We start from the raw sequence: 26122 nt of genomic DNA, 5'->3' as shown, positions 1-26122 counted from the left end.
TCATGACATGCATGTGATTCTGTAGCATCATAAAGGCCAGAAAAACTAACTTATAATATGTTCATACGACTTTTTCTTTGGAAGCCATCCTGAATCTTACAAACTACAGCGACCAACAATAACAAGAAACACATAACACCTGCTTATTCTTCACAAATGGTGGAGAAATAAGCCCAATGAAATGAGGACAGCTGAAACAGCATCTCTAAAGCAAAGGTTGTGCTAGTAGGCTATTCTAGAACTGTTTTTCCTCTCCTTCCCTTCGTTTCTTACCACAAGAGAACAAAACACTCCTTGACCTTCCTTTATCCCCAAGCCCATCTTTCTCCACCACTGCTGAATAATTTGCTCTTCTGAGTGCCTGCTGTGGAACTCAGGTGGTGAGTTCAGTGGGCTTGGCAATGAGACAGGATTTACTGAACTCATCCATGCCTGAGTTGCGTAAATCCATTGGTTGAATCACCCACGTTGAGATTTATTGATTTAAAAGTCCCTAAAAATACACCGCAAAACATTCCTAATCTCTAAGATGGCATCTATACTCTCTTTTGGAGCTCAAAGGTTCAAGAGAAGTTTGTGGATGATAAGAGAGCGTTAAGTTCCCCCTCAGAAACGTTTGGGAAGATAGATAGATTTTTTTTTTTCAGGCTAGATTAAGGGTCAGGAGAATGCCTACATTTAGTATAAAAAGGGAGGGAGTTTCCTCTCAACGATAGTGTTGTGGCTCAAAATCCCAGTGGTCAGCTGGAGCCAGACCAAACACACACCTTGGGAAACAGGGATATTAATCTGTCTGGCTTGTGGGTGTGAGATGATTCTTTGGAGGTCAAGGGACAATGAGGTAACCAGGAACGAAAAGGAATGAAAGGGATTTGAGAACAGTGAGGGAGAATTGATAAAATGAGTAAGAACTATGGGTTTCTGTCTGCTTAGAATAAACAAGGGGTTTCTGGTGAGACAGAGTCAAGCACAGAATAACCTGAAAGATCAGGTGACATATAAGACCAGATAGGAAAGGCTGGACTTACCTTTGTTATAATGTAAGGATTTACTTTATAAGGTGCTAGGTCTGATACCAGGGAGTTGAGGAATTCTCAACAGGACATTCCACTGTGAGCTGCATCCGTCTAGGGAGATTTGCTATCAGTACCAGCAAGTATCCCCCAAAATAAACATAACCCAGGGTGGTCTCTGGGCACCCGCCCCCTTCTCCCTCCTGAGAGTTGGGGGCGTCTGATAGCTGGCATGCCTCCCAGCTAAGAATCATGTGTCCCTGCCACCCTGGCAAATTTACAAGTGAGCTGTGGCAAATTTACAAATTTACAAGAGTGCTGCAGAGCTGGGAAAACACTGGCCTAGTGGGATGGCTGAAAGTTCTCCTGTTTCTTCCCTAGAAAGAGCATGTCGTTTCTCTTTTTGAGGGTCCACTTATTTTTCAATTCTGCTCAGACACTTAAAACAGCCCCCTTTCCCTAAGCCCGCTCAAAACTAACCAGTTCTAGCAAAACTTGTGTTTTCAAAATAAAGTTGTGGTACAAATTCTGAAAATGAGCTCCTTTGACAGTTGGTTCTCATTAAAAGTCTTACCTTAAGGATTTAAAACCTGGTCTCACAGCACACACACACACACCCACCACCAAAGCATTGCAGAAATCTACTAAAGCCTCGGATGCCTGACATCATTTTACATAAAGACGAATACTTTGTGTTTTACATAAGCCCTGAAAGTGAGAAGTTTGCCTGTGTAAGAAAGTGATGATTAAGATCTTCAATAAAGCATAGGTTATATATGTATTAGGGAGAAGAGGGACATTGCCACAGCTTGTCTCTGGAAATCCAGCTGTTAAAGTAGATTCAAGCCATTACAGAAAGCACAAAGAGTTCATAAACATATCAAACCCTCCAAATCAAAATCACAGCAGCTGTGACATGCCCAAAAGGAGGGGCAGTTTAGATGTTTCACAGCAAAATAAAAGTTCCATGCCAACCAGCTTTCAAGGGGAAGCGTGGTGTTGCCATCTCAGATGTAGGCTGGTCTGCAGAAAGTGTTTTTGTTTCTCAATAACTCTGCCACTATATCTCTCACACACGTGTTGGGTTCATCTGCACTTGATGCTGAAAGGGTGAGGACAGAATTCCTGGGACAGCACTACCGAGAGATCTTTCTATCCAAACACTATAGAGAAGGTAAGATGGCCAGATCTCCTAAGTGCTAAGAGAAAAAAGAGAAGAGAATTAGCAAATGAGTGTGGTTCCAACACCAGTCTGGCTCATCTCAGTGGTGCTCCCCCATGATGATATGATCCAAATGGCATCATTTAGACTTTTGGGTCCAACTAATCCCAGGTGATGCCTTGAGAATGAGAGGAGAACTAATTTTGCCAAGGCATCAACAAAGCAAAGTCCTGTGACCAGATGTCAGAAAATTTCAGTCTACAATCCGAGAATTGGATTCAATTCAATTCTTGATAACCCAGATAATACATTCAACTCTTGATAATGCAGAATTTTTTCAGGTAGTGTGTTTCACCAGAACCTTGTTGGATTGGCTTTTTCTTTTTTCTACATGATGTGGATGCATTTTAGTCAAAAGTATTCCATCTATTTAGTTTCAAGGCTAAGAAAAACAGCAGCCCTGACTAGGTCATTACACCTATTGGAAGTATTTGCTTGTTAGCCACTTCTTTTCTCCTGTACCTGACAAAAATTTCAGAGCCAACAGTTCTGCTGGAGGAGGCTTGAAAGACATTGGTAAAAGATTTCCCCTAGATTGAACTCTGAGTGGTGAGGTGTATTTATTTGTAAAATGCACCTTGTCTGTCTTCCAAGTCTTGTGGAAATTGATGATTTGATGTTGGTTTCCTTTATTTCCTTTGTCTCCAACCATTACACCAAATAAGTATAAAACTTAGTTCTTATTTACATGGCCTCAGAAATAGAATCAGTCCTCAAAACCTTGGAATGACTTAAATGCCCATTCAGCTAATAGAATGACAGGGGGAGTAAGTTAAACTTTTAGGTCCCAAAATTTTCTATTCACTCCAGACTTCATGAAGTCCCAGAATCTCACCTTTCCCAAATATGTAGACATTTTAATTTACCTTTCATGTTGTGAATTTACCTTTCATGTAGTTTACCTTTCATGTCAGTTGTGGCACTTCCAGAATGTACCAAAAATTCTGGTATTTCCTGACCATGAATTTCTATGTAGAAGGATAAATATGTGGAAAAGAGGTAAAAACAGTCGGGCGTATTGGCTCATGCCTGTAATCCCAGCACTTTGGGAGATCGAGGTGGATGGATCACAAGGTCAGGAGTTCAAGACCAGCCTAGGCAACATGGTGAAACCCCATCTCTACTAAAAATACAAAAATTAGCTGGATGTGGTGGCACGTGCCTGTAGTCCCAGCTACTTGGGAGGCTGAGGCAGAAGAATCGCTTGAACCTGGGAGGTGGAGGTTGCCTTGAGCCGAGATCACATCACTGCACTCCAGCCTGGGCGACAGAGAGAGACTCTGTCTCAAAAAAAAAAAAAAAGGTAAAAACGCCTTGTAGCTGGATGGATTTCCATCGACTGGACATATGTAGCAGCTCAAAAGTCAAAAGTACAAGCTAATCTTTCTATTAATATAATATGGCGATCACTTGAGAGACAAGCGCTCTTCCCTGGTTCAAGTTCTTCTTTGGATGGTGGATGTCATGGATTTTAGCATAGAGATCTTTGCTAAAATCATCCGTTAAGTTCATCCAGAAGGACACTGCTTTGGAGAGACTACTACTAACAATGCGGAGCTTGAAGATGAGTGAATCCTGCAATTATGAGGGGTAGAAAGTCCTTTGAACTTTCACATGAAGCCTATGATTAGAAAATATTTATTCAAGGGGGGATATTTGTTGTCTCCCAAAAAAGTGTATGAAATTGGCCTGGTGCCATGGCTCATGCCTGTATCCCAGCACTTTGGAAGGCCAAGGCAGGCATATCATTTGAGATCAGGAGTTCGAGACCAGGCCGGCCAACATGGCGAAATCCGTCTCTACTAAAAAATACAACAATTAGCCGGGTGTGGTGGCACATGCCTGTAATCCCAGCTACTTGGGAGGCTGAGGCAGAAGAATCACTTGATTCCGGGAGGCAGAGGTTGCAGTGAGCCGAGATCGCACCACTGCACACTCCAGCCGGGGGACAAAGTGAGACTCTATCTAAAAAAAAAATAAAGAGTATATGAAACTTGAGCCACTTTTCTTCTTCTGTACTGACTATGGCTCTGTGAGGAAAACAGCAATTTCTTATAGCAGTTGGTAGATCAAGAGGTACCGTGATTTTCTTTTTCTTTTTTTTTGAGACGGAGTCTCGCTGTCGCCCAGGCTGGAGTGCAATGGGGAAATCTCATCTCCCTGCAACCTCCACCTCCCAGGTGCAAGCGAGTCTTCTGCCTCAGCCTCCCAAGTAGCTGGGACTACAAGTGCACACCACCACACCTGGCTAATTTTTTTGTACTTTTAGTAGGGACAGGGTTTAGCCACATTGGCCAGGCTGGTCTCAAACTCCTGACCTCAGGTGATCCACCTGCCTCGGCCTCCCAAGGTGCTGGGATTAGAGGTGTGAGCCACCCGCACCCAGCCTGATTTTAGTTTTCAAGTCTTCATTTGAGACTGCGCGCAATGGTTCCCACCTATAATCCCAACAATTTGTGAGGCCAAGGTGGGAGGATTGCTTGAGCCCAGGAGTTTGAGACCAGCCTGGGCAATAGAGGGAGATATTGTCTCTACAAAAAATTTTAAAAAGTAGCTGGGTGTGGTGGCACATAACTGTGCTCCTAGCTACTCCAGAGGCTGAAGCAGGAGGATCCCTTGAGCTCAAGAGGCCCAGGCTGCAGTGAGCTGTGATGGTGCCATTGCAATCCAGTCTGGTTGACAGTGCAAGACCCCATCTCCTAAATAAATAAATGTCTTCATTTGCACAGACTGTGAGAGTTTATTTTTTTCCTTAGAGGTGACTCTGCTAAGCAACAAATCTGGGCTTATACAGGCATATTTCAGATGATGTTAAAAAATCACATGACCTGGTTGCAGACAAGTTTAAGGCCTCCCTTCTTTAAGGATTTTCTCTCCTGAAATCAGCACATTCAACCTTCTCCTCCAATGAAATGTTGTTGCTTTGCATGTCTCATCTACACCATCCGAAGACAACTGATGACAGGTGACAAGACTACTCCAGAAGTAGCTTCCTTTTTTGTGGGTTGACTTTCCTATATCCCAGGTGACTTAAATGTATTTTTGCCCTTCTTTGAAACAACCACTTTGCTTCAGCTGATACCACCAATCCCTCCAATAATAAGTCAACAAATATTTATTGAGAACCCAATTTAAAAATAACAGCAAATGTTCAGTATACTGAACATTTACTATATTCCAGACATGGTTCTAAGAGTGTTACATACATTTTTTATATCCAATTCTCACTACACCTCTATGACACAGTTTTATTACCTATTTACAAGTAAAGAAACTGAAAAACTCCAGAGGTTAAGTAACTTCTTCCAGCCGCTTGCTAGTAAAGGGCCAAGAGAGGCTTTGAACCCAGGCAACCTGACTTCAGAGCAGCAACATTTAATCCCGATCCTATATTACCTACAGCCCCACACAGATAATCCATAAAGATATAGAAGAAAATAAGGGGCCGGGTGCAGTGGCCCATGCTTGTAATCCCAGCACTTTAGGAGGCCAAGGTGGGTGGATCACTTGAGGTCAGGGGTTCAAGACCAGCCTGGCCAACATGGTGAAAACCCATCTCTACCAAAAATAGAAAAATTAGCTGGCCGTGGTGGTGCGCATCCTTGTAGTCCCAGCTACTTAGGAGGCTGAAGTGAGAGGATCCCTTGAACTAGGGAGGGGAAGGTTGCAGTGGGCCGAGATCGTGCCACTGCACTCCAGCCTGGGCGATGGAGTGAGACTCCATCTCAATTAAAGAAAAAAAAAAAAGTCATGATCGTCCCTACCCTTTTCACTGCCTCCTACCTGCCCACTTCCATGTGGGTCAGGTTCCTGAAGATATTATGCCCATTCTGCCACCTTTGCTAGTGCTGGTCCCCTGTTCTGGTGTGTCACCTCTATGCAGATCTGATTCCTCTTCAAGCATACTTTTATCTCTCCTCCAACCTATCTCCCTTTCAGCTTTCCCTACGGAAGCCTCCAGCTTATCTCTGTCCCTTCTTTCTTTGATCTTATTACACCTAATCAAACACTACAGTGACACTGTAAGATCCTTGAGGTAGGGTTTCATATGTGATACTTCATTTATATTCTCTAGGTTAGACAGAGCCACCAAGTTGCTTCTACAAGACACCCTCAAATCCACTTCCAGGATCTTAGAAGTTTGCTTCCTGTTTTGTTGCCCACCATTGTTCTTATTTTCTTCCTTTTCCTCATTTCCTCTATTCTCCATTTTATAAAAGTAATCTCTACTCATTTTCAGCCTCCATTGTATCTGATGAGAGGTCAGCCATGGTTTGTATCATCATTCTCCTGTGTATAATTTTTCTTTTTTCCTCTGTTTACGGACTTTTCTCTTTATCTTTGGTTTTTAGCAGTTTGACTATGATGTGCTAAAATGTGGTTTTGCTGGTATTTATCTTGTTTGTGGTTTGCAGACCTTTTTGGATTTTTTAGGCAATTTTAGAGGTTTGCTTTCATGTTTTTTTTAACCAAATTTGGGAAAATCTGGGTTATTATTTTTCTCAAATATTTTTTTCTGCTCCATTCTTTTTCTTTTCTCTTTCTGACACTCCAACATATATGTTATGCTGCTTGGCATTTTGCTAGTACTCATAGAACCCTTGTTCATTTTTTAAAAAATTGTTGTTTCTCTTTGTATTACAGAATAAATAACTTCTATTGATCTGGACCTCTGTTCTGTAGTCTCCAATTTGCTGTTAAGCCCACCCAATGAATGTTTCATTTCAGATATTACAGTTTTCAGTTCTAGAACTTCCATTTGTTTCTTTACTTATTACCAATTCTCTGTTGAAAATTCCCATCTATTCACTCATTACGTCTATCATTTCCTGAAGTCCTTGAATGTATTTTTAATAGCTGCTACAAAGTCACTGTCATCTAATTCTAACATCTGTGTCATCTCAATATTTACTTCTATTGACTACTTATTTTTCTTTGATTATGGGTCACATTTTCCTTCTTTGTGTACTTTGAATGCTTAGTAATTTTTTTTTTTTTTTTTTGAGATGGAGTTTCACTCTTGTTGCCCAGGCTGGAGTGCAGCAGCGCAATCTCAGCTCACTGCAACCTCTGCCTCCTGGGTTCAAAGCAATTCTCCTGCTTCAGCCTCCTGAATAGCTGGGATTACAGGCACCTGCCACCTTGCCCAGCTAATTTTTTGTATATTTTTTAGTAGAGACAGGGTTTCACCATGTTGGCCAGGCTTGTCTTGAACTCCTTTACATGGGAGACAATTTGCATGTTCAGTTGTAGGGAGACTGGAACAAGTCGTCTTCCTTTAAAGTTAACTATATGCTTATTTTAAAGTACATTTGAGAGGTGGGAGGATCACTTAAGCCCAGAAGTTTGAGACCTGCCTGGGCAACAAAGGGAGGAAAAATATCTATCTCAAAAATAAATAAATAAATAAATAAATAAATAAATAACGTACAATTGAAAATATGGAGGGAAAGTAATTATCAATTCATTCATAAGCAAATGTAGCCATTTTTTAAAAATCCCTATTTATTTTAGTCAATCAGGGCTGCTATAACAGAAATACCATAGACTGGGTGGCTTAAACAACAAATATTTACTTTTCACAGTTCTAGAGGCTGGAAGTTCAAGATCAGGGTGCTTCATGGTTGGGTTCTTGGTGAGTCCCTTCTTCCTGGTTTGCAGACAGACGTATTTTTGCTGTGTCCTCACATGGCAGAGATTGCAAGTGCTAGTCTGTTTCTCTCCTTATAAGTATACTAATCCTATTATGAGGACTCCACCTTCATGATCTCATTTAAACCTAATTACCTGCCAAAGACACCATGTCTTACTACCATTCCTCTGGGGGCTAAAGTTTCAACATATGAATTTTGGGAGATTACAAACATGCAGTCCGTAACACTATTTATCCAGCAGACAGTGTCCTCCATTCTTCCAAATTCACTCTCCAGAGTTGGTTTGTTTATGGTGCTAGGAACTTGCTCAAATGGAACTTGAGTTACTTGTTAAAAGATGAATGAACAAATGAGTTGTAGTAGTAAATTGCAGAGACTTAAAAAGGAGATAAAATTTGGAGAAACTGAAAAGGTAGGAAGTTCACGTGAGGCATATAGGACATATATACAACAAGTGGTTCATATCTTCTTGGAAATTATCAAGAAATAATGTTCTTATTTTATCCCTTTTCATTATCCTAAAATTGTATTACCTTGCCAGCACTGTCAGCAACATACAAAAAGGATATAGTGTATTTATAATCTACCTTTCATACATTTCTCTCCACTTTAGTCATCTAAGCTGCTGCCAATTAATGCCTTATTTACTCCAGGATCTGACCCAAATATTTTGCATTCAGGGATCCAGTCACGGCACTTGAAATAAATAGATAGATCGATGGTGAACCCTGATGTTTACCCTTCAGCCTAATTCCATGTTCCTCCTGCCCTGCTGCAGCATTGCTGTCTGTCTCCTTGATTTGTGTGCACTGTGATGTCTTAGAAAGGTAAACGCTGAATGTCCAGTTCTGTGAGCAGTGGGTCACAGTAAGAAGGACCCAATTCAAGCAATCTGAAGTAGCAGCCCTGGTATAGAGGCAACTTCTTGAATCCAATTTTATAATTCCTCCTTTTCACTATGCCTATTTTTAGTTCCCCCACCCCCTATTTTTTTTTTTCTTCTTGTTAAAGGGAAACAGGGTCTGCAAGTCAAAAGCCCGAAAGTCCTATAGTACATCTTGGGACATTTTAAGTCTTCAGGCCTCTATGCCTTCTGGGAGGTGGAATGGGAGTGGCTAAAACATGAGATTAGACCAGATATTTGGTTTTAACGTTTTAAATGCTGGGTCTTGTTTTATGGAAGATGCTTTGCTAACTATCCACTATTAGCCTTTCTTCCTCACTAACAAAACCCTCTTTGCCTTGTGCTGGCAATGCGTCCCATTCATTGGCTCATAACTGTGAAGGTCATCTGTACCTCCTTGGATGCTAGGAGTGGCCATTTACCCAATTTTGGCCAATAAAATTATAAGAAGTCTGCTGTGATGGGGTGTTGTGGGAACATTTTTGCTTTCATAAGGGATAGTCAAGCTGGCATTGTTCCTTCTTTCTCCTCTTCATTCAATATGGATCTGTCAGGAGCAGCAGCAGCTCTGTGACAGGAAGGAAAAGGTCAGAGCTTAGCAGAGATGCCACAGTCTGTCCCAGTTGCAGTCTCCTCAGGCTTCTTATGAATTGGAAAAAAAAAAAATGTTTGTTTAAGCTACTGGTCATCAGGTTTTACGTGCTTGTTCTTTTGATTTTGTTTCTCTGCTTCTTGTAGCTGAAGCATTCTTCAGTGACAGGTTTTGGGAAAGTTTTTCTTTGTTAACTAGGAGGAATAATACTAACCCATAATAAATTAAAAGGTCAGTGGAAAAGAATACAGTTTAATATAAGAATTACCTATTTTGAATTACCTATAGCCTATGGTTGATAGAAGGCTGTTGTTTTAGAGTTATTTACTGTATTCTATATTTTTCTCCTTCAGCCATTTTTTTTGGTAGTACACTTCGCTCACTCATTCATGCACGCGTTCAACAAATATTGCACCCCAGCTATTTTGCTTGCACCAGGGTGGATACTAGGGATACAAAAATGAATAAGAAAAGTCTTTCATCCCCATGAAGCTCATTCTGGTAGAGGAGGCATGCTAGGAAAGAAGCATGAGTAGCAAGTGAGGGAAGAAAAAATGCAAACCAAGGAGAGAGGCCTGCAAGTACAAGGTTCAGAGAGCTGGGATATGGTGTTTTTTGAGTAAGAAGTTCAGCACAGAGCATGTGGGATTCAGAGCCTGGAGATAAAGGTGGAAATACAGAGCAGAGCTGGATATAAAACCCTTGTGGTCCAAGCTTTATAATTTGGTGCAGCCTGTAGGCAATAAATAAACCACAGATAATCTAAACTTTTTCCAGTTTTGTCACATTTTAAAGTTTAGTTGACATGATCAGATTTCCTTTGTAGGAAAATGGATGGCAGTTTAGAGGACTCACTAAAGTGGAAAGAAACCCATCAAAGGGAGAACATTTCCACCCTGGCAAGAAAGTTCTATTGAACAATACTGGTTTAGAGAATTTTAAAAGCCTTGAATAAGTAAAATTCAGGGAAAAGGTAAAATTCTAGGAAAGAGTAAATTACAGTGATGTACCATCCACTTCATATTCATGAAACTGGGGGAAAATGGGAAAGTCGGCTAATACTGTGTCCGGAATTGGTGGGTTTTTGGTCTCACTGACTTCAAGAATGAAGCCGCGGACCCTCGCGGTGAGTGTTACAGCTCTTAAGGTGGCGCGTCTGGAGTTTGTTCCTTCTGATGTTCGGATGTGTTCGGAGTTTCTTCCTTCTGGTGGGTTCGTGGTCTCGCTAGCTCAGGAGTGAAGCTGCGGACCTTTGCCGTGAGTGTTACAGCTCTTAAGGCCGCGCGTGTGGAGTTGTTCATTTCTCCCGGTGGGTTCGTGGTCTCGCTGGCTTCAGGAGTGAAGCTGCAGACCTTCGCAGTGAGTATTACAGCTCATAAAGGCAATGTGGACCTAAAGAGTGAGCAACAGCAAGAGTTATCGCAAAGAGCGAAAGAACAAAGCTTCCACAGTGTTGAACGGGACGCCAGCGGGTTGCCACTGCTGGCTGCCGCAGCCTGCTTTTATTCTCTTATCTGGCCCCACCCACATCCTGTTGATTGGTCCATTTTACAGAGAGCGGAGTGGTCTGTTTTGACAAGGTGCTGATTGGTGCGTTTACAGTCCCTGAGCTAGACACAAAGGTTCTCCACATCCCCACTAGATTAGCTAGATACAGAGTGTCAACACAAAGGTTCTCCAAGTCCCCACCAGAGTAGCTAGATACAGAGTGTGAATTGGTGCATTCACAAACCCTGAGCTAGACACAGGGTGCTGATTGGTGTCTTTACAAACCTTGAGCTAGATACAGAATGCTGATTGGTGTATTCACAATCCCTTAGCTAGACATAAAGATTCTCCAAGTCCCCACCAGAGTAGCTGGATACAGTGTCGATTGGTGCATTCACAAACCCTGAGCTAGACACAGGGTTCTGATTGGTGTGTTTACAAACCTTGAACTAGATACAAAGTGCTGATTGGTGTATTCACAATCCCTTAGCTAGACATAAAGGTTCTCCAAGTCCCCACCAGACTCAGGAGCCCAGCTGGCTTCACCCAGTGGATCCCGCACAGGGCCACAAGTGGAGCTGCCTGCCAATCCCGCACGGTGCGCCCACACTCCTCAGCCTTTGGGTGGTCGATGGGACTGGGCGCCGTAGGGCTGGGGGCGGCACTCGCTGGGGAGGCTCGGGCTGCACAGGAGCCCATGGAGGTGGGGGAGGCTCAGGCATGGCGGGCTGCAGGTCCTGAGTCCTGCCCCGCAGGAAGGCAGCTAAGGCCCGGCGAGAAATTGAGCACAGCAGCTGCTGGCCCAGGTGCTAAGCCCCTCACTACCCGGGGCCTGCGGGGCCAGCCAGCTGCTCCTAGTGCGGGGCCCGTGAGCCCACGCCCACCCGGAACTCGTGCTGGCCCGCAAGCACCGTGCACAGCCCCGGTTGCCCCCTGCGCCTCTCCCTCCACACCTCCCCGCAAGCTGAGGGAGCCGGCTCCGGCCTTGGCCAGCCCAGAAAGGGGCTCCCACAGTGCAGCGGCGGGCTGAAGGGCTCCTCAAGTGCAGCCAAAGTGGGAGCCCAGGCAGAGGAGGCGCCGAGAGCGAGCGAGGGCTGTGTGGACTGCCAGCATGCTGTCACCTCTCAATGCCAAGTATTGCTGGGGATGAGGGGAAAGCAGGTGGCTGACATACTGCTAAGAGAATAAACTGTTACAACCACTTGGAAGAATAGTTTGGTGATTGATATCTAGTAAAGATGAAAGTATGTAACCCTACAACCCAGCAATTTCATTTCTAGGGACAAAAGTAAGAGAAAACACTTTCATCTGCAAACAAGGGGACCACCACCACAAAGATGTCACTACATTATTTTTAGTAGAAAAAAAAAAAAAAGGCCTACTAAATGTCCCTATGGGAGAATGAATAAATACATTCTGGTATATTCATTCAATGGTATATCCCTACACGTCTCAAAATGGATGTGTCTCAAAAATGTATTGTTGGATGAAAACATTTGTCTACATTGTAGATGATCTACAGAAGGATATTAATGCTCATTGATGTCCCGCCACGGGTTACTCTGGAGGCACTTTACTGAATCCTCCATACTGCCACCAATTTTTCTAAACAGTTAATATGGTTATGCTAACTCCTTCCTTTCCTTTAAATGGGATAAAAGCTGGCTAACAGATAAAAATCTTAAGTTGCCAATTTCTAGATTTGAACAATCTGTGTCCAGTCTAGCCTTGTGTTCATAGCTCAAGACACGACAGAAAAAGTAATAAGGACAATTTAAAGTTAGAGACTTACATTAAGAGAAGCTAGCATTGTTAGCCAGGAAAACACTATGAACTTGAGATGATGTTTAATATTGGTTTTAGGGCTTCTGTGTTCTCAGATATGCAGATCTGTCTGGTTTAGCTTTGAGATTTAAATCTAACCTCTTTCTTTCAAAGGATCTGAAATGATTCTGGGATTCCTTCTTGCATCCTCCGTTTCTTTTTCTCCTTCTGTTTTCCTTCCTTCTTGGAAAGCTTTACATAACATTTTTAAGTATGATAAAGTGTTTGGAAAGCTCCATGCAAAAAGCTGGTTCATTTGAATTCAACATAATTGATTGCACAGCTACAATTTATTTGCCATGCCCTATGCTAGAATCTGCGGCCTGCGAACTAACACACCCCTATGCTCAAAAAATTCATAGTCTAGTTGAATATAGATAAATATCATTCAGTGACTATGCCCCACATCAGTGCCAAAATAGAATACTTAAACCTTCTTTAACTCTTCTAAGCAAAAGAACCTTCATAAAGTTAAGGATTATAAATAGCTGTAAAGGAATCACTCGGTTACGGCGACCACCCAGGTGGTGCCAGAAGTTGGAAGTAGCCCTCCTCCCTCAGCCCGCCATCAGTGCAGCTCAGAACGAATTGGCTTTGCAGGAACGCTGAGAGAAAAGGAAAAGCCGGCCAAATCTTCCAGGCAGAAGTAGTTCTGATCCGAGGATTAGAGCCTGTCAATTAGGGGTGTCCGAATGGGAAGGAGGAAAGGAGGCGAAGGAAATATGGCTTAAGCTCCAGGGGAGACTCATTTTCTTTAGGAGAGAGGGTCAGGCACCAGGACTAGCGCGTTCCCATTCTCCTCCGAAAGGAGTCCATCCTTATCCGGATTTCCCTTGCCATGAAAATGAGGCCCCCCTCCCGCCGGCGCGTGCTCGCTGGGCTGGTAGAAGCTCCCGGGTGGCCCGCGCGTGGCCCGGCCGCGGCGGGGGTGGCCCCGCGGTCAGCTCTGGAGTCCGCCGCCGCCGCACTAAGGACGGAGCCGGCCCCAGACGCGCCCTGGCCCGGCCTCCCCCCGCCGGGGAGCGCCCCCGGCCCACATCCAGGCTGCGTCGGGGTTTGGCAGGCCCGGCCGGAGGAGGCGCCTTTGAAGTCTCGGCTGGCCGACCGGGAGGGAGATGGATGACCGGGCAGGGGCAGGGACGCTGGGGCCCCGCCTGGTTCCCACGATCAGGCCAGCGCAAGGGGCCACCGTGCGGCGCGGGCGGGCTCCGGGGCAGAAGGGGACGAGCGTGCGCCGGCGCGACCGAGGGAGAACTGGCGGCCGCTCAACACGAAACTGGAGTGGGTGTGAGACAGGAGATGGTGGGAGTCAGAGAACAGTGTGTGTGCGACAGGGGGTGTGACAGAAGACGCAGTGTGAGTGTGAGGGGGCCGGGATGCGTGCGTGCGCCCTGCGTTAAGTGCGCGGGGGTAAAGAAGACACGGGCTGCGCGTGGGGTGGGGGTGTTGGCGGGGCGCGCGCCACAGCGACGTGGAGAGGTCTAAGCCCGGGCCGTCTGCGTGGGGTGCTGGGGTCTCTAACCCCGAGCGTGGGCGAGGGGTGGGGGCTGCTCGCCGGAACCAGCCGGGAGCACCTAACGCCCAGTCCCGCGCAGCGCCCGTCCCGGCAGCTCCGGCGGGTCTGTGGAAGGAGACTCGCGGCGGGAAGGAGATACAACTTAACTTTAGAGCGCGGCGAGAGCTATTAACTTGTCACGGGCATCCGCTCATTCTTTATTTAAAAAAAAGTCACGAGCCCAGAAACCCCCCCAAAGGAGGGAGCGCGCGGGGAGCTGCAGCCACCCCCACAGCGCTAGGGAGATTGGGGTGTGCGCCCCCGCCGCCCGGCCCCGCCCCGCCCCTGCCCTCCCCTCCCCTCCTCTCCTCTCCACTCCTCTCCCCTCCCCTCCCCTCCTCTCCTCTCCTCTCCTCTCTCCGCAGTTCCCCGCACCGCCTGGCCACGCCCCGCCGCCCGGCCACGCCCCCCCAGACTGCATGGCGTCGGCCCGTGAGCCAATGGGAAGCTCCCGGGCTCCGGCCGCCGCGGCAGGTCGCGGCAGGAAGCGGTGGGCTAGCGGTGGCCCCCAGCAAGATCGATCACCTTTCCCCCTCCGCAGCTGGGCCAGAGACCCCGAGGGGAACCGGGCCATGTTCTTCTCGCCCTGCCCTGGGCTTGGAGAAGGCTAAGGCCGGTGGTCCCGGACACCCAGGAGGTTTGCTTCTTAGCCTCTTCTCCAGACTTGCAGACACGGATAATAACTCGCCCGGTTTGAGGCCCAGAGAGAGGCTCATTAACTAGAGATTATACAATAAAGGCTCTCCTGGAGAGGAAGGTCGCCTTCCCCCTTCACCCCAAATTATTTCCGATGGGGTCATTGCATACATCTACAGGCCACATCTGTTCAAAAGGACCTATTAAAATATTTGTTGACCTAGAAGTGAGAGAAGGGAGAGGACTGGGAATGTTGGGGCTCCGGGCGCGGGCGGTGGGGCAGCCGGATGTGGTGAGCGCTGGCGCTTAAAATGCGCCCAGTGGGAGGATATGAAGGGGATGTTAAAAGTCACGCAGGTCGCCTCCTCCCCCATATTGTGTTTGAATGTTCTCCATGTTCAAGGTGGAACCTCAGGCTGCAAGGTGTTTGCTACTCTTAAACTGAGTGGTGAAGAGCCAAGATTTGAAATGGAGGAGATATTTCACAGAACGATTTTGAACTGCAGAAAGAAAAAGGTGGAGCCAGTGGTGGAAGTACAGAAAACAGATGATAAAGGATAGTTGCAAAAATGTCATCAGCATTCTTCAAACCCAACAGGCATTTCTAGAGACCTCTGCTCTCTCTTCTCTGAGTCAAAACTCAAATCTGGGCCCTTAGAGAGCTGCAAGTAAAGGTGCTTGGTTTGTGCTATGGTGAAGCCCCACAGGCTGCAAGGTTTGCTGCCTTGTTGGTGGAGGGCAGGCCCCCTCTTTTAGGTCTTTTTTTCTTTTAATTTCAAATTTGAGCTGGAAGACGGTTTATATATCCTCTTTCTTCTCACTCACCTACATCTACGTTCTGAAAATGGGAACATCGGCTACACAACAGAAGCTGCCTTGCTCCTCTTGATGAGGCGCAGTGTTTACTTGTCACTATTTTATTTTATTGGCAACTTAAAACCTCTGCCCTTGAAGGCAGTTGCTCATCCTGGAGTTTCTTTCAGAACATCTTTTTCTTTCTTTCTTTTTTTTTTTTTTTGAGACGCAGTCTCGCTGTGTCACCCAGGCCGGAGTGCAGTGGTGCGATCTCGGCTCACTGCAAGCTCCGCCTCCCAGGTTCACGCCATTCTCCTGCCTCAGCCTTCCAAGTAGCTGGGACTACAGGCGCCCACCACCACGCCCGGCTAGTTTTTTGTTTTGTTTTGTTTTGTTTTTTGTATTTTTAGTAGAGACGGGGTTTCACTGTGTTAGCCAGGATGGTCTCGATCTCCTGACCTCGTGATCCGCCCGCCTTGGCCTCCCAAAGTGCTGGGATTACAGGCGTGAGTCACCGTGCCCGGCCAAGAACATCTTTATTTAATGAAAAATGGTTGACTTGCAGCAAGTATATCTTAACAAAATTGTAATTATAAATGCATTGTATTGTAGCAAACTGATATTAAAACCAAAAAGGAACCATGTAAACAATGTTTATGACATCATAATTCTTGACTACTTGAAATTAAACTACCTACTCATTTTTAAAAATCGGTCAAAAGCTTTCCACTTTCTTTGTTTTTTGAGATTTTCTTTTTGCATTTGGTAAATTTAGAGACAGACAAAAGGGGGAAGGGGTGTTGTATCTTACTCAACAAATAATTGGGTTAATAACAAACATTCCTATAGCCTGTATGAGGCATGAGACTCTCAGTAAAAATATATCAGTGCAAAGCAGAAGTAAGTTGAAAGGTTATACAGAGAAATTCTACCATGGTGTCAAAATATATACCATAGATATATATATAACAAAATATATACCCTAACAAACTATCTCAAAAATCTATATTGTTAAACTGTTAGTAAACAAACAAACACACCAAACAATGTGGTTGACATCCTCTTTTTTCTCAGCATTAGTGCTGAAATTTACCAGGGCTTTCTCTTCTTTCTCTTTCATCTATCCCAAGGTGATCTTAAACATTCTTACGGATTTTATTTACATGTTGATGGTTCCAAAACTTTTACCCCCAGGGCAGATATCTCCCCTGAGCTCAATCCCACTCTCTTCGAAGGCTCCCCAAGCATTTCAAACCTGACAGGTCCAAAATTGAACTCCTGATTTCACATCTCCAAAATATATCTCTCCCGGTCTTTTCAATAAAAAGAAATAATCCGGCTGGGCGCGGTGGCTCACGCCTGTAATCCTAGCACTTTGGGAGGCTGAGGCGGGCAGATCACCTGAGCTCAGGAGTTCGAGACCAGCCTGGGCAAAACGGTGAAACCCCGTCACTAGTAAAATCAAAAAAAAAAAAAAAAAAAAAAAAAAAAAATTAGCTGGGCGTGGCGGTGTGCGCCTGTAGTCCCAGCTACTCAAGAGGCTGAGAGGCAGGAGAATTGCTTGAACCCGGGAGGCAGAGGTTGCAGTGAGGCAAGATCGCGCCACTGCACTCCAGCCTGGGCGACAGAGCGAGACTCTGTCTCTTAAAAAAAAGAAAGAGGGAGGCCGAGGCGGGCGGATCACGAGGTCAGGAGATCGAGACCATACTGACTAACGAGGTGAAACCCTGTCTCTACTAAAAATACAAAAACTTAGCCGGGCGTGGTGGCGGGCGCCTGTAGTCCCAGATACTCAGGAGGCTGAGGCAGGAGAATGGGGTGAACCTGGGGGGCGGAGCTTGCAGTGAGCCGAGATCGCGCCACTGCACTCAAGCCTGGGCAACAGAGCAAGAGATTGAGAGAGAGCGAGAGAGAGCGAGAGCGAGAGAGAGAGAGCGAGAGAGAGAGAGAGAGAGAGAGAGAGAGAGAGAGAGAGAATCCTACCAAACACCCAACTGATCAAGGCAGAAACCTCGGAGTCACTTTTTTTTATTATGTGTTCATTACTCTCCACACCTAATCCATCACCAAATTCTATTTATTCTACATCCAAAGCCTATCTAGGAACGTTCTAGTTCTATTTTCGCTGTCCTCCTGTACGCCAAGCCCTATCTCTCACCAGGATGGCTGCAATAGCCTTGTTTACTGGTTTTCTTAGCTTCTATTGCCTCCTTCTAATCTCTCCTTCCCACACCCCCCAACATCTCTCCATCCATCACCACCCCTCCACCCCACAAGCGGATTTTAACATTTTTATTATTTTAATTTAATTTTTTTTTTGATGGAGTATTGCTGTCGCCCAGGCTGGAGTGCAGTGGCATGATCTCTGCTCACTGCATCCTTCACCTCCTGGATTCAAGTGATTCTCGTGCCTCAGCCTTCCAAGTAGCTGGAATTACAGACGACACACCTGGCTAATTTTTTTGTATTTTTAGTAGAGACAGGGTTTCATCATGTTGACCAGGCCAGCCCCAAACTCCTGACTTCAAGTGATCCGCCGACCCCGGGGGTCTTCCCAAAGTGCTGGGATTACAAGCATGAGCCACTGTGCCCGGCCTTATTTTTTAAAACCACAAATTGGATTGTGTCACTGCCATTCTTTACGATTTTCAAACTTTTTTGTGCCATGGCCTGCTAGACCTGCATGATCCAGTCTCTGCGTACTTCTCCACAGTCACCCTGGGCCCCTCCCCCTTAGCTCAGCATGACTTCTTTGGCTTTCTCTTCCCCACACTCTGCATGGATGGCTTCATCTTATCTTTTAGGTTTCAGCTTAAATGTGACCTCAGAAAGGCCTTCTTTAAGACATTCTATACTCTTTTAGCACTGTTTGTTTTTTTTGTTGTTGTTGTTTGTTTTTTTTTTTGAGACAGAGTCTCACTCTGTCTCCAGGCTTGAGTGCAGTGGTGGGATCTTGGCTCACTGCAACCTCCGCCTCCTGGGTTCAAGAGATTCTCCTGCCTCAGCCTCCTGAGTAGCTGACTACAGGTGCGTGCCACCACACCCGGCTAATTTTTTTGTATTTTTAGTAGAGACAGTGTTTCACCACGTTAGCCAGGATGGTCTCGATCTCCTGATGTCATGATCTGCCCTCCTCAGCCTCCCAAAGTGCTGGGATTACAGATGTGAGCCCCCGCACCTGGCCCATTTTGTTGTTTACTTGTTTTTTGTCTGTCTCGTCCACCTGACTGTAAGCTTCATGTGGGCAGGGGCTGTGTCTGTTTTATACTACCCAGGGTCTAGCATAACATATTTGGCTTTCAGTAAATATTAGTTGAATGAATGAATGAGTGAATAACCCAACACTGAAAATGAGTATCTCAATAAAGTGCTAACAACCTGTATATCTGGGCCGCATCTCCTTTCTGAACTCCATATCTGTATATCCAAACTTCAACAAAGCATCTCCACCAGAATTTCGATCAGCACACCAGACTGAACAGGTCCCAAACTGACTGCATGGTGTGCTGGTTTTCCTGCATTCTCTCTCTACCAGTGACACCACTTGTGCATTTGCTTAGTCCAGAAATCTGGCAGTCATGCAAGGTTCCTTTCCTTTCCACTCCCCATATTCAACTGGCCATCAAGCCCTATCCATCTGCCTTTAAAAATAGCAAGCTCCTTATCTTCCTCTGTTTCCCACTCCTCTCTAGTAGGTCAGAGCCTCCCAATTTCCCTTTGTAATCACCACACTGGTCTTCTACCACTGTATTGTGGGCAGACTGATCTTCTCCCTGCTCCCTAAAATGTTAAGCATGTTCTTCCCTTAGGATGGTACACTTCTTCTTTCTTCCTGGTATCTTTTCCCCTAGGTATCTGCACAGCTCACTATTTATTTCAGTTCTTTACTCAAACATCTCCTTTCAAAGACACTTTTTCTTTTTCATTTGTACAAATTTAAGGTGTAAAAGTGCTGTTTTCTTACATGGATGTATTGCCTAGTGGTAAAATCTGGGCTTTTAGTGTAACCATCACCTGAATAATGTACATGGTACCCACTAAGTTATTTCTCATCCCTCATCCCTCTCCCACACCCCCACTCTTCCAAGTCTTCACTGCCTATTATTTCATACTCTGTGTCCATGAAGTTTTCTTGATTGACCTACATAAAATAGTAACCTGAAACCCTTCATTATCTTAATTTTTTTCTTAGTGCTTACGTTATCTATGTATGTCCTTATTTGTTTAATATCTGTTTTCCCTAATAAAATATAAACCCCACAAAGGTGGGGATTTTGTCTGTTTGTTCATTGCTGAATTCTCAGTGCCTCACTGTGTGCACACAGAGGGCACCCAATAGATGTTTGTTGAATGAAGAGTCTTCTAATTTGTCCTCTGACCTCAATGTACCCTCTTTCATTTATCCTCTAAGCTGCAGTCATAGTGATTTTCAAAAACCCAAATACGCTTGTTTTCCTTTTAGGAACAGCCTCAACTTACATCATAAGGTCCAGTCTCCTCAGCATATGTTAAAAAGCTATTGACCAAGGCCACCCAGCTACCAAGGAGCAGAGCTGGGATTCAAATCTGGTTTAACTCAAACTCTTCAAAACTACATTTCCCTGCATCTTTAACTCAGAAAAAACCAGACTCTTAGGACTTACAATACACTGGACTATTCATACCTCTGTGCTTTGGCATATGCTGTTCCATCTACCAGGAATGTTCTTCCACTTCTTTTTTCATTCACCTTCAAAGCTCCCATTATCTTTCAAGATCCAACCCAAATGTCACAACTTCTGTGAAACTTCACTGATCGATCCAACCTAAATGAATCATTTCATTAGCTATTCAACCATGGTACTTTACACATCACATATTTCTATTTTGCATTATCACTTAGTATTACAATTATTTTTTAACTTGTCTTTCATCTGCATAGTGAGTACTCAATCAATGACTATTGAATGATACTTTAGATACTTGAGTCTATTTTTGCTTAATGCTACACTTGGATGAATACTACATTGAAAATGTTCGTTTCTTTTTTTTTTTTTTTTTTTGAGACCGAGTCTTGCTCTGTTGCCCAGGCTGGAATGCAGTGGCGTAATCTCAGCTCACTACAACCTCTGCCTCTCCGGTTTAAGTGATTCTCCTGCCTCAGCTTCTGGAGTAGTTGGGACTATAGGAGCCTGCCACCACGCCTGGGTAGTTTTCGTATTTTTAGTGGAGATGGGGTTTCACCATATTGGCCAGGCTGGTCTCGAACTCCAGACCTCAAGTGATCTGCCCCCCTTGGCCTCCCAAAGTGCTGGGATTACAGGTGTGAGCCACTGCGTCTGGCCTGAAAATGATTGTTTCTTTATCATCCTAATCTTGAGCTTTGCTGCTCCCATCTCTCTGTACTCATAACTTAATTGCCTAGTTAGAAAATTTGGGAAGGATAGCATTTAGGAATTGCTTTCAGATGCTAATAACAGAGATCTGAAATAAACGTGGCTTAAACAAGACAGAACTTTTTTTCTCTCTTGCAAAGGTAATCCATGACTGGTATGGTGGGTTCACAGTCATCAATTACTCCTTTTACCTTTCCTCTTTGACTATTGTATTGTATGGTTTCCATTCTCAAGATTGCCTCATGGTCCACAATGGATGCTGGACTGCAGCCATCACGTTGCTTTAAAAGACAGGAAGGAGGAGAAAAGGACATTAGAATCACAGAATAACTATATGAAATTTTGTAGATCTTTGACACCTCTTGAGCTAGGTCCTACAAACTCCTCTGCCACAGAACAATTGATTAACATATTATAATTCTGGGTTAAAGCATATTGCTACTTGTAATGGTTATTTTAAAAATTGATGTAAGTCCTTGGATATTCTTCCTGCTAAGAGAAGATGCCTGCTCCATGCAAATCTGGATAACTTTGTTTCAACACGTAGAGTATGGCAGACATGATGCTGTATGACTTCCCAAGCTAGATCATGAAAGGCCACGGACACCATCCCCCCTTGCCCCTCTCCCTGACCCTCTTGGGATGCTCACACTAGGGTAAGCCAGCTGCTATGTAAGAAGTCAGTATCTTGAGACTGCTATGCTTAAGAGGCCACATGTAGTCACTCTATTGACAGCCCCATCTGAGCTCCCAACCAATAGCCAGCATCATCTACCCAGCCATGTAATCTTTAGATGATGGCAACTTCAGCAAATATCTTAGTACAACAACATGAGTAACCCCAGAAGAGAACTGCTCAGCTGAGCTATCCCCAGATTTCTGACCCACAAAATTGTGAGCAAAGTAAAATGGCTGTTTTAAGGTATTGGATTTGGGGGATATCTGTTCATAGCAATGGATAATTATAACACTACCAGAGATGACTTATGGCCTGTTCTGATTGATATGTGCTAGTTTTACCAAATTATTTATTTCAAACCACCTGTCTGCTAGGACCTTGTCTGTTTACACTCATAATGATCTACCAGCAACTCTCTTCATCTCACAAATTATAAGACCAACAGTTAAAAAAATAAAAATTTAGAGACAGGGTCTCACTCTGTTGCCCAGGCTGAAATGCAGTGACTCACTACAGCCTCGACCTCTCAGACTCAAGAGATCCTCCCATCTCAGCCTCCTGAGTAGCTGGGACTACAGGCATGCACCACCACACCTGGCTAATTTTTTATTTTTTATAGAGATAGGGTCTCACTGTGTTGCCCAGGCTGGTCTCGAACTCCTGTGCTCAAGCATTCCTCCTGTCTCAGCCTCCCAAAGTTCTGGGATTACAGGCTTGAGCAACCATGCCTGGACCCAACAATTATTTTTTCATAATTAATCTAAGACTTTTTCCAGTTTTCTGTATGTCTGAGGCTTTTGGCCTGACATTTGCACAAGGAGCAAGTAGGCTATATATGTAGCTACTCTTTTTTTTTTTTTTGACAGGGTCTCACTTCATTGTCCAGGCTGGAGTGCAGTGGTGTGATCATGACTCACTGCAGCCTCAGCATTTGGGCTCAAGAGATCCTCCCATCTCAGTCTCCTGAGTAGCTGGGACTACCATACCGCACACTACCATACCCAGCTACTTTTTTGTATTTTTGTATTTTTAGGTAGAGATGGGATTTCACCCTGTTGCCCAGGCTGGTCTCAAACTCCTTAACTCAAATAATTCGCCTGCCTCTGCCTCCCAATATGCTGGGATTACAGGCTTGAGCCACTGTGACTGGCCTGCCCTCTCTTAATGTTCAGTGATGATACATCCCCCATCACCTTGTGGAGCTATCTGCCGAGAATAATGTAAGATGGTCTACAAGTTTCACTGACTCTTAATTTTGTGGATAGAAATTGGTTATAAGTCACATTGCATGGTTTTAACGTAGATTACTAGTTAATAATGTTCTTATAAAAAATTCTCTTTGAAGATATTATGCTAAGTGAAATAAGCCAGTCACAAAAGGACAAATAATGTGTGACTGCAGTTACAGGAGGTACCTAGAATATAGGTACCTAGAATATAGGAGGTACCTAGAATATAGACAGAAAGTAGAATAGTAGTTGCCAGGGGCTGGAGAAGGGAGAAATGGGAGAATTCATGTTTATTGTATGCAGAATTTCAACTGGGAAAGATGAAAAATTCTAGAAGTGGATGGTGGTGATAGTTGCACAACATTGTGAATGTACTTAATGCCACAAAACTGTACACTTAAAAATGATTAAAATGATCAAGTTTATGTTATGCATTATTATTAGTATTTTTTTTTTTTTGAGATGGAGTCTCGCTCTTGTTGCCCTGGCTGGAGTGCAGTGGTGTGATCTTGGCTCGCTGCAATCTCCGCCTCTCGGGTTCAAGCGATTCTCCTGCCTCAGCCTCCTAAGTAGCTGGGATTACAGGCGCACGCCAACAAGCTCAGCTAATTTTTGTATTTTTAGTAGAGACAGGGTTTCACCATGTTTGTCAGGCTGTCCTTGAACTCCTGACCTCATGACCCACGTGCCTTGGCCTCCCAAAATGCTGGGATTACAGGCGTGAACCACCGCACCCGGCCAACTATTTTTTACAATAAAAAAAATTCAAAAAAAAGTTTCTACTCCAACACCCTTTATTAGAATCAAGAAGAGAAGGAACAGATCAGATAATAATCCTTTGAGGAGTATGAAATAGAATGATGTCCCTTCTCTTTTCAAAGTTCCCCTACCATAACAAATAGGAAGATAGATATCCTCTTCTGGTCTGATCATAGTATCTTATTATCATGAACCAGAAATTGCCTCACAAAAGGTAGTTGCAGTATCTAACTCCTGCTAAAAATAATGGCTAACCAATGATAATGAAATTAAAACTCATCGTTTGTGGGAGCTATTGTCAACTCATTCAATGACATTTTGCAATGCACTCATCCTGGAGTTCCATTGGAAAACCATGTTGTTCAGTCAGAGGTGCCGTGGGAGTCCTGATGTTTTCCGCCAGCCACTGTCGGTGATTAGGAAACACCAGCTTTGAAAATTTTCTATGCCCAAACGCTGTATATCTCTAGGGACTCAATTAAGCATTTGTTCAAGCACTGGAGCACATTCAAAGCAACTTCCTAAGGAAAATTTGGGCCCAATCTTGAGGTGTCCCTGCAGCTTACCTTGGAGGAAAACTGGGGTGGTCTTCATCAGTGAGAAAACACTGATTTGCTTCTGCAACTTTTGTAGGATGGCAAATTTAGTATTTGCTCAGTTGTTTTCCAGACCCTGTGAAGGTGTCTTCTATGATCCAAAAGAAATACTAAAACACTGGGCTCTTGCCAGAGAGAAAAATCTTAACTTTTTCAATTATTTGATTCTTACCAAGATCCCAGCTGAGAGAAGTAATACATGGGGAAGACTGCAGAGTGGATATGTTATTTAGCGTTCAAGGCGAATCCCCAAATACAGAATTATACTAGCTTAGTCTGACAGGACTCACCTTCACTGAAGTCTTGGTTTTCATGGGAGGTTATTATAAGAAACAGGGCTGCAATATCCTCTTTTGCTTTTCCATAAAAATACTGCTAAGACATTGCCTGTTACATCCCTCAGAGCCCTTTGTGGCACTCCATATAGTAAACTCCTTCTGTAATTTCATTTCATTTGAAAACAGGCATTCTTTGCTTTTTTCAACAGCAAGATTGATGTCACTTACGTTTTTTTCTCTCTTTACCTTGGCTATAAGAAGCTCAGACCCAAATCTGAAGCACAATCTCAGTAATCATGTTAACTCTTAGGGTTGGCTTATTTCAAGTTTCCTTTTTCTTTTTTTTTCTCCTGGTTTTCTATTTTGATTTTACCAATTCATTTTAAATGGGGTGTTTTCCGTCATAGACCACCCAGATTCTTTCTGGAAAGAAGTAATACGTAAAACATACTTAGCTCATAACTTTTGACTCCCTTTGATTGTGTCATCTCAGCTCAGCCTCAATTTACAGAAATTGGCTCACAAAATGACTGCTTAACAAACTTAAGGAAGAAAGTGACAACTTAAAGTTGATAGAAGGAAACATACTGAAGGCTCTAGAAGAGGTAGTACACTAAATTCTTATCAGAGACGCATCTAATAGAGAAACAAACTTCAGTGAACTCTTTCACTTACATGGAGCCCAAGACAGACTGAAGTTTGGCCAGACTCAGTTTACAATTGGACAATCCTTCAGCTGACTGTAATCTCCCCTCCATGGAATTCCCCATGAGTTTATTGAGATCCTACCTTGAGGGATTTACCACTTTTCTACCCTTTGGTATCTTTTTTTTTTTTTTTTTTTTTTTTGACAGAGTCTCACTCTGTCACCCAGGCTGAAGTGCAGTGGCGCGATGTGGCTCACTATAACCTTCGTCTCCTGGGTTCAAGCAATTCTCCTCCCTCAGCCTTCCGAGTAGCTGGGATTACAGGCGCCAGCCACTATGCCTAGCTATTTTTTTGTATTTTTAGTAGAGACGGGTTTTCACCGTGTTAGCCAGGATGGTCTCGATCTCCTGACCTCGTGATCCACCGGCCTCAGCCTCCCAAACTGCTGGGATTACAGGCATGAGCCACCGTGCCCCGCTATCTTTTATTTGTAAAATTTCTTCCTCTTTCCTATCACTAAACTGGATGATCTATGAGGGCAGGGGAGCTGTATCATTTATAGTCTATCCCTCAATTCCTTCTTACCCTTCCCAATAGAAGCAGTTGTTCAAATATTCACTCACTCACTAAATAAGTGATGTTCTTTCAAAGATTCCTGTGATATATTATTTACTCCTGGAAATCTGCTGCACAATGTTGTCCCTTTCTTTGTAGTGTCAAACACTGGATGTTTGCCCAGACAAGATACCAAGATCTAAAAAGCATGTGACATTCCTGGCATTGCTTTGTTTTCTAATTAGGATCAGTCATAAAGTTTCTGATAAGTAAATAGATATAAGTCTCAGTTGGTCCTTTCTATTCCTTTCCAAAATTAT

The 26122-nt window shown here is 44.1% G+C and overlaps 6 annotated features.

Moving 5' to 3' along the window:
- Window positions 10922-11122: a silencer, noted in NCBI's record as "peak1768 fragment used in MPRA reporter construct". NCBI's record gives its function as "represses an SCP1 promoter by STARR-seq MPRAs in K562 erythroleukemia cells {active_cell/tissue: K562}" and the evidence as "EXISTENCE:reporter gene assay evidence [ECO:0000049][PMID:32103011]".
- Window positions 13664-14164: an enhancer, noted in NCBI's record as "H3K4me1 hESC enhancer chr12:66135793-66136293 (GRCh37/hg19 assembly coordinates)". NCBI's record gives its function as "activates a minimal SCP1, AML or CMV promoter by ChIP-STARR-seq in naive H9 embryonic stem cells {active_cell/tissue: H9 hESC(naive)}" and the evidence as "EXISTENCE:reporter gene assay evidence [ECO:0000049][PMID:30033119]".
- Window positions 14165-14665: an enhancer, noted in NCBI's record as "H3K4me1 hESC enhancer chr12:66135292-66135792 (GRCh37/hg19 assembly coordinates)". NCBI's record gives its function as "activates a minimal SCP1, AML or CMV promoter by ChIP-STARR-seq in primed H9 embryonic stem cells {active_cell/tissue: H9 hESC(primed)}" and the evidence as "EXISTENCE:reporter gene assay evidence [ECO:0000049][PMID:30033119]".
- Window positions 14615-14664: a silencer, noted in NCBI's record as "silent region_4634". NCBI's record gives its function as "represses an Ori minimal core promoter by ATAC-STARR-seq in GM12878 lymphoblastoid cells {active_cell/tissue: GM12878}" and the evidence as "EXISTENCE:reporter gene assay evidence [ECO:0000049][PMID:35858748]".
- Window positions 17261-17761: an enhancer, noted in NCBI's record as "H3K4me1 hESC enhancer chr12:66132196-66132696 (GRCh37/hg19 assembly coordinates)". NCBI's record gives its function as "activates a minimal SCP1, AML or CMV promoter by ChIP-STARR-seq in primed H9 embryonic stem cells {active_cell/tissue: H9 hESC(primed)}" and the evidence as "EXISTENCE:reporter gene assay evidence [ECO:0000049][PMID:30033119]".
- Window positions 25922-26122: a silencer, noted in NCBI's record as "peak1767 fragment used in MPRA reporter construct". NCBI's record gives its function as "represses an SCP1 promoter by STARR-seq MPRAs in K562 erythroleukemia cells {active_cell/tissue: K562}" and the evidence as "EXISTENCE:reporter gene assay evidence [ECO:0000049][PMID:32103011]".

Source organism: Homo sapiens, chromosome 12, assembly GCF_000001405.40.
Source record: "Homo sapiens chromosome 12, GRCh38.p14 Primary Assembly".
Taxonomy (NCBI): domain Eukaryota; kingdom Metazoa; phylum Chordata; class Mammalia; order Primates; family Hominidae; genus Homo; species Homo sapiens.
The sequence above is the reverse complement of the archived record's forward strand: the minus strand, read 5'-3'. Positions and strand labels throughout refer to the sequence as shown.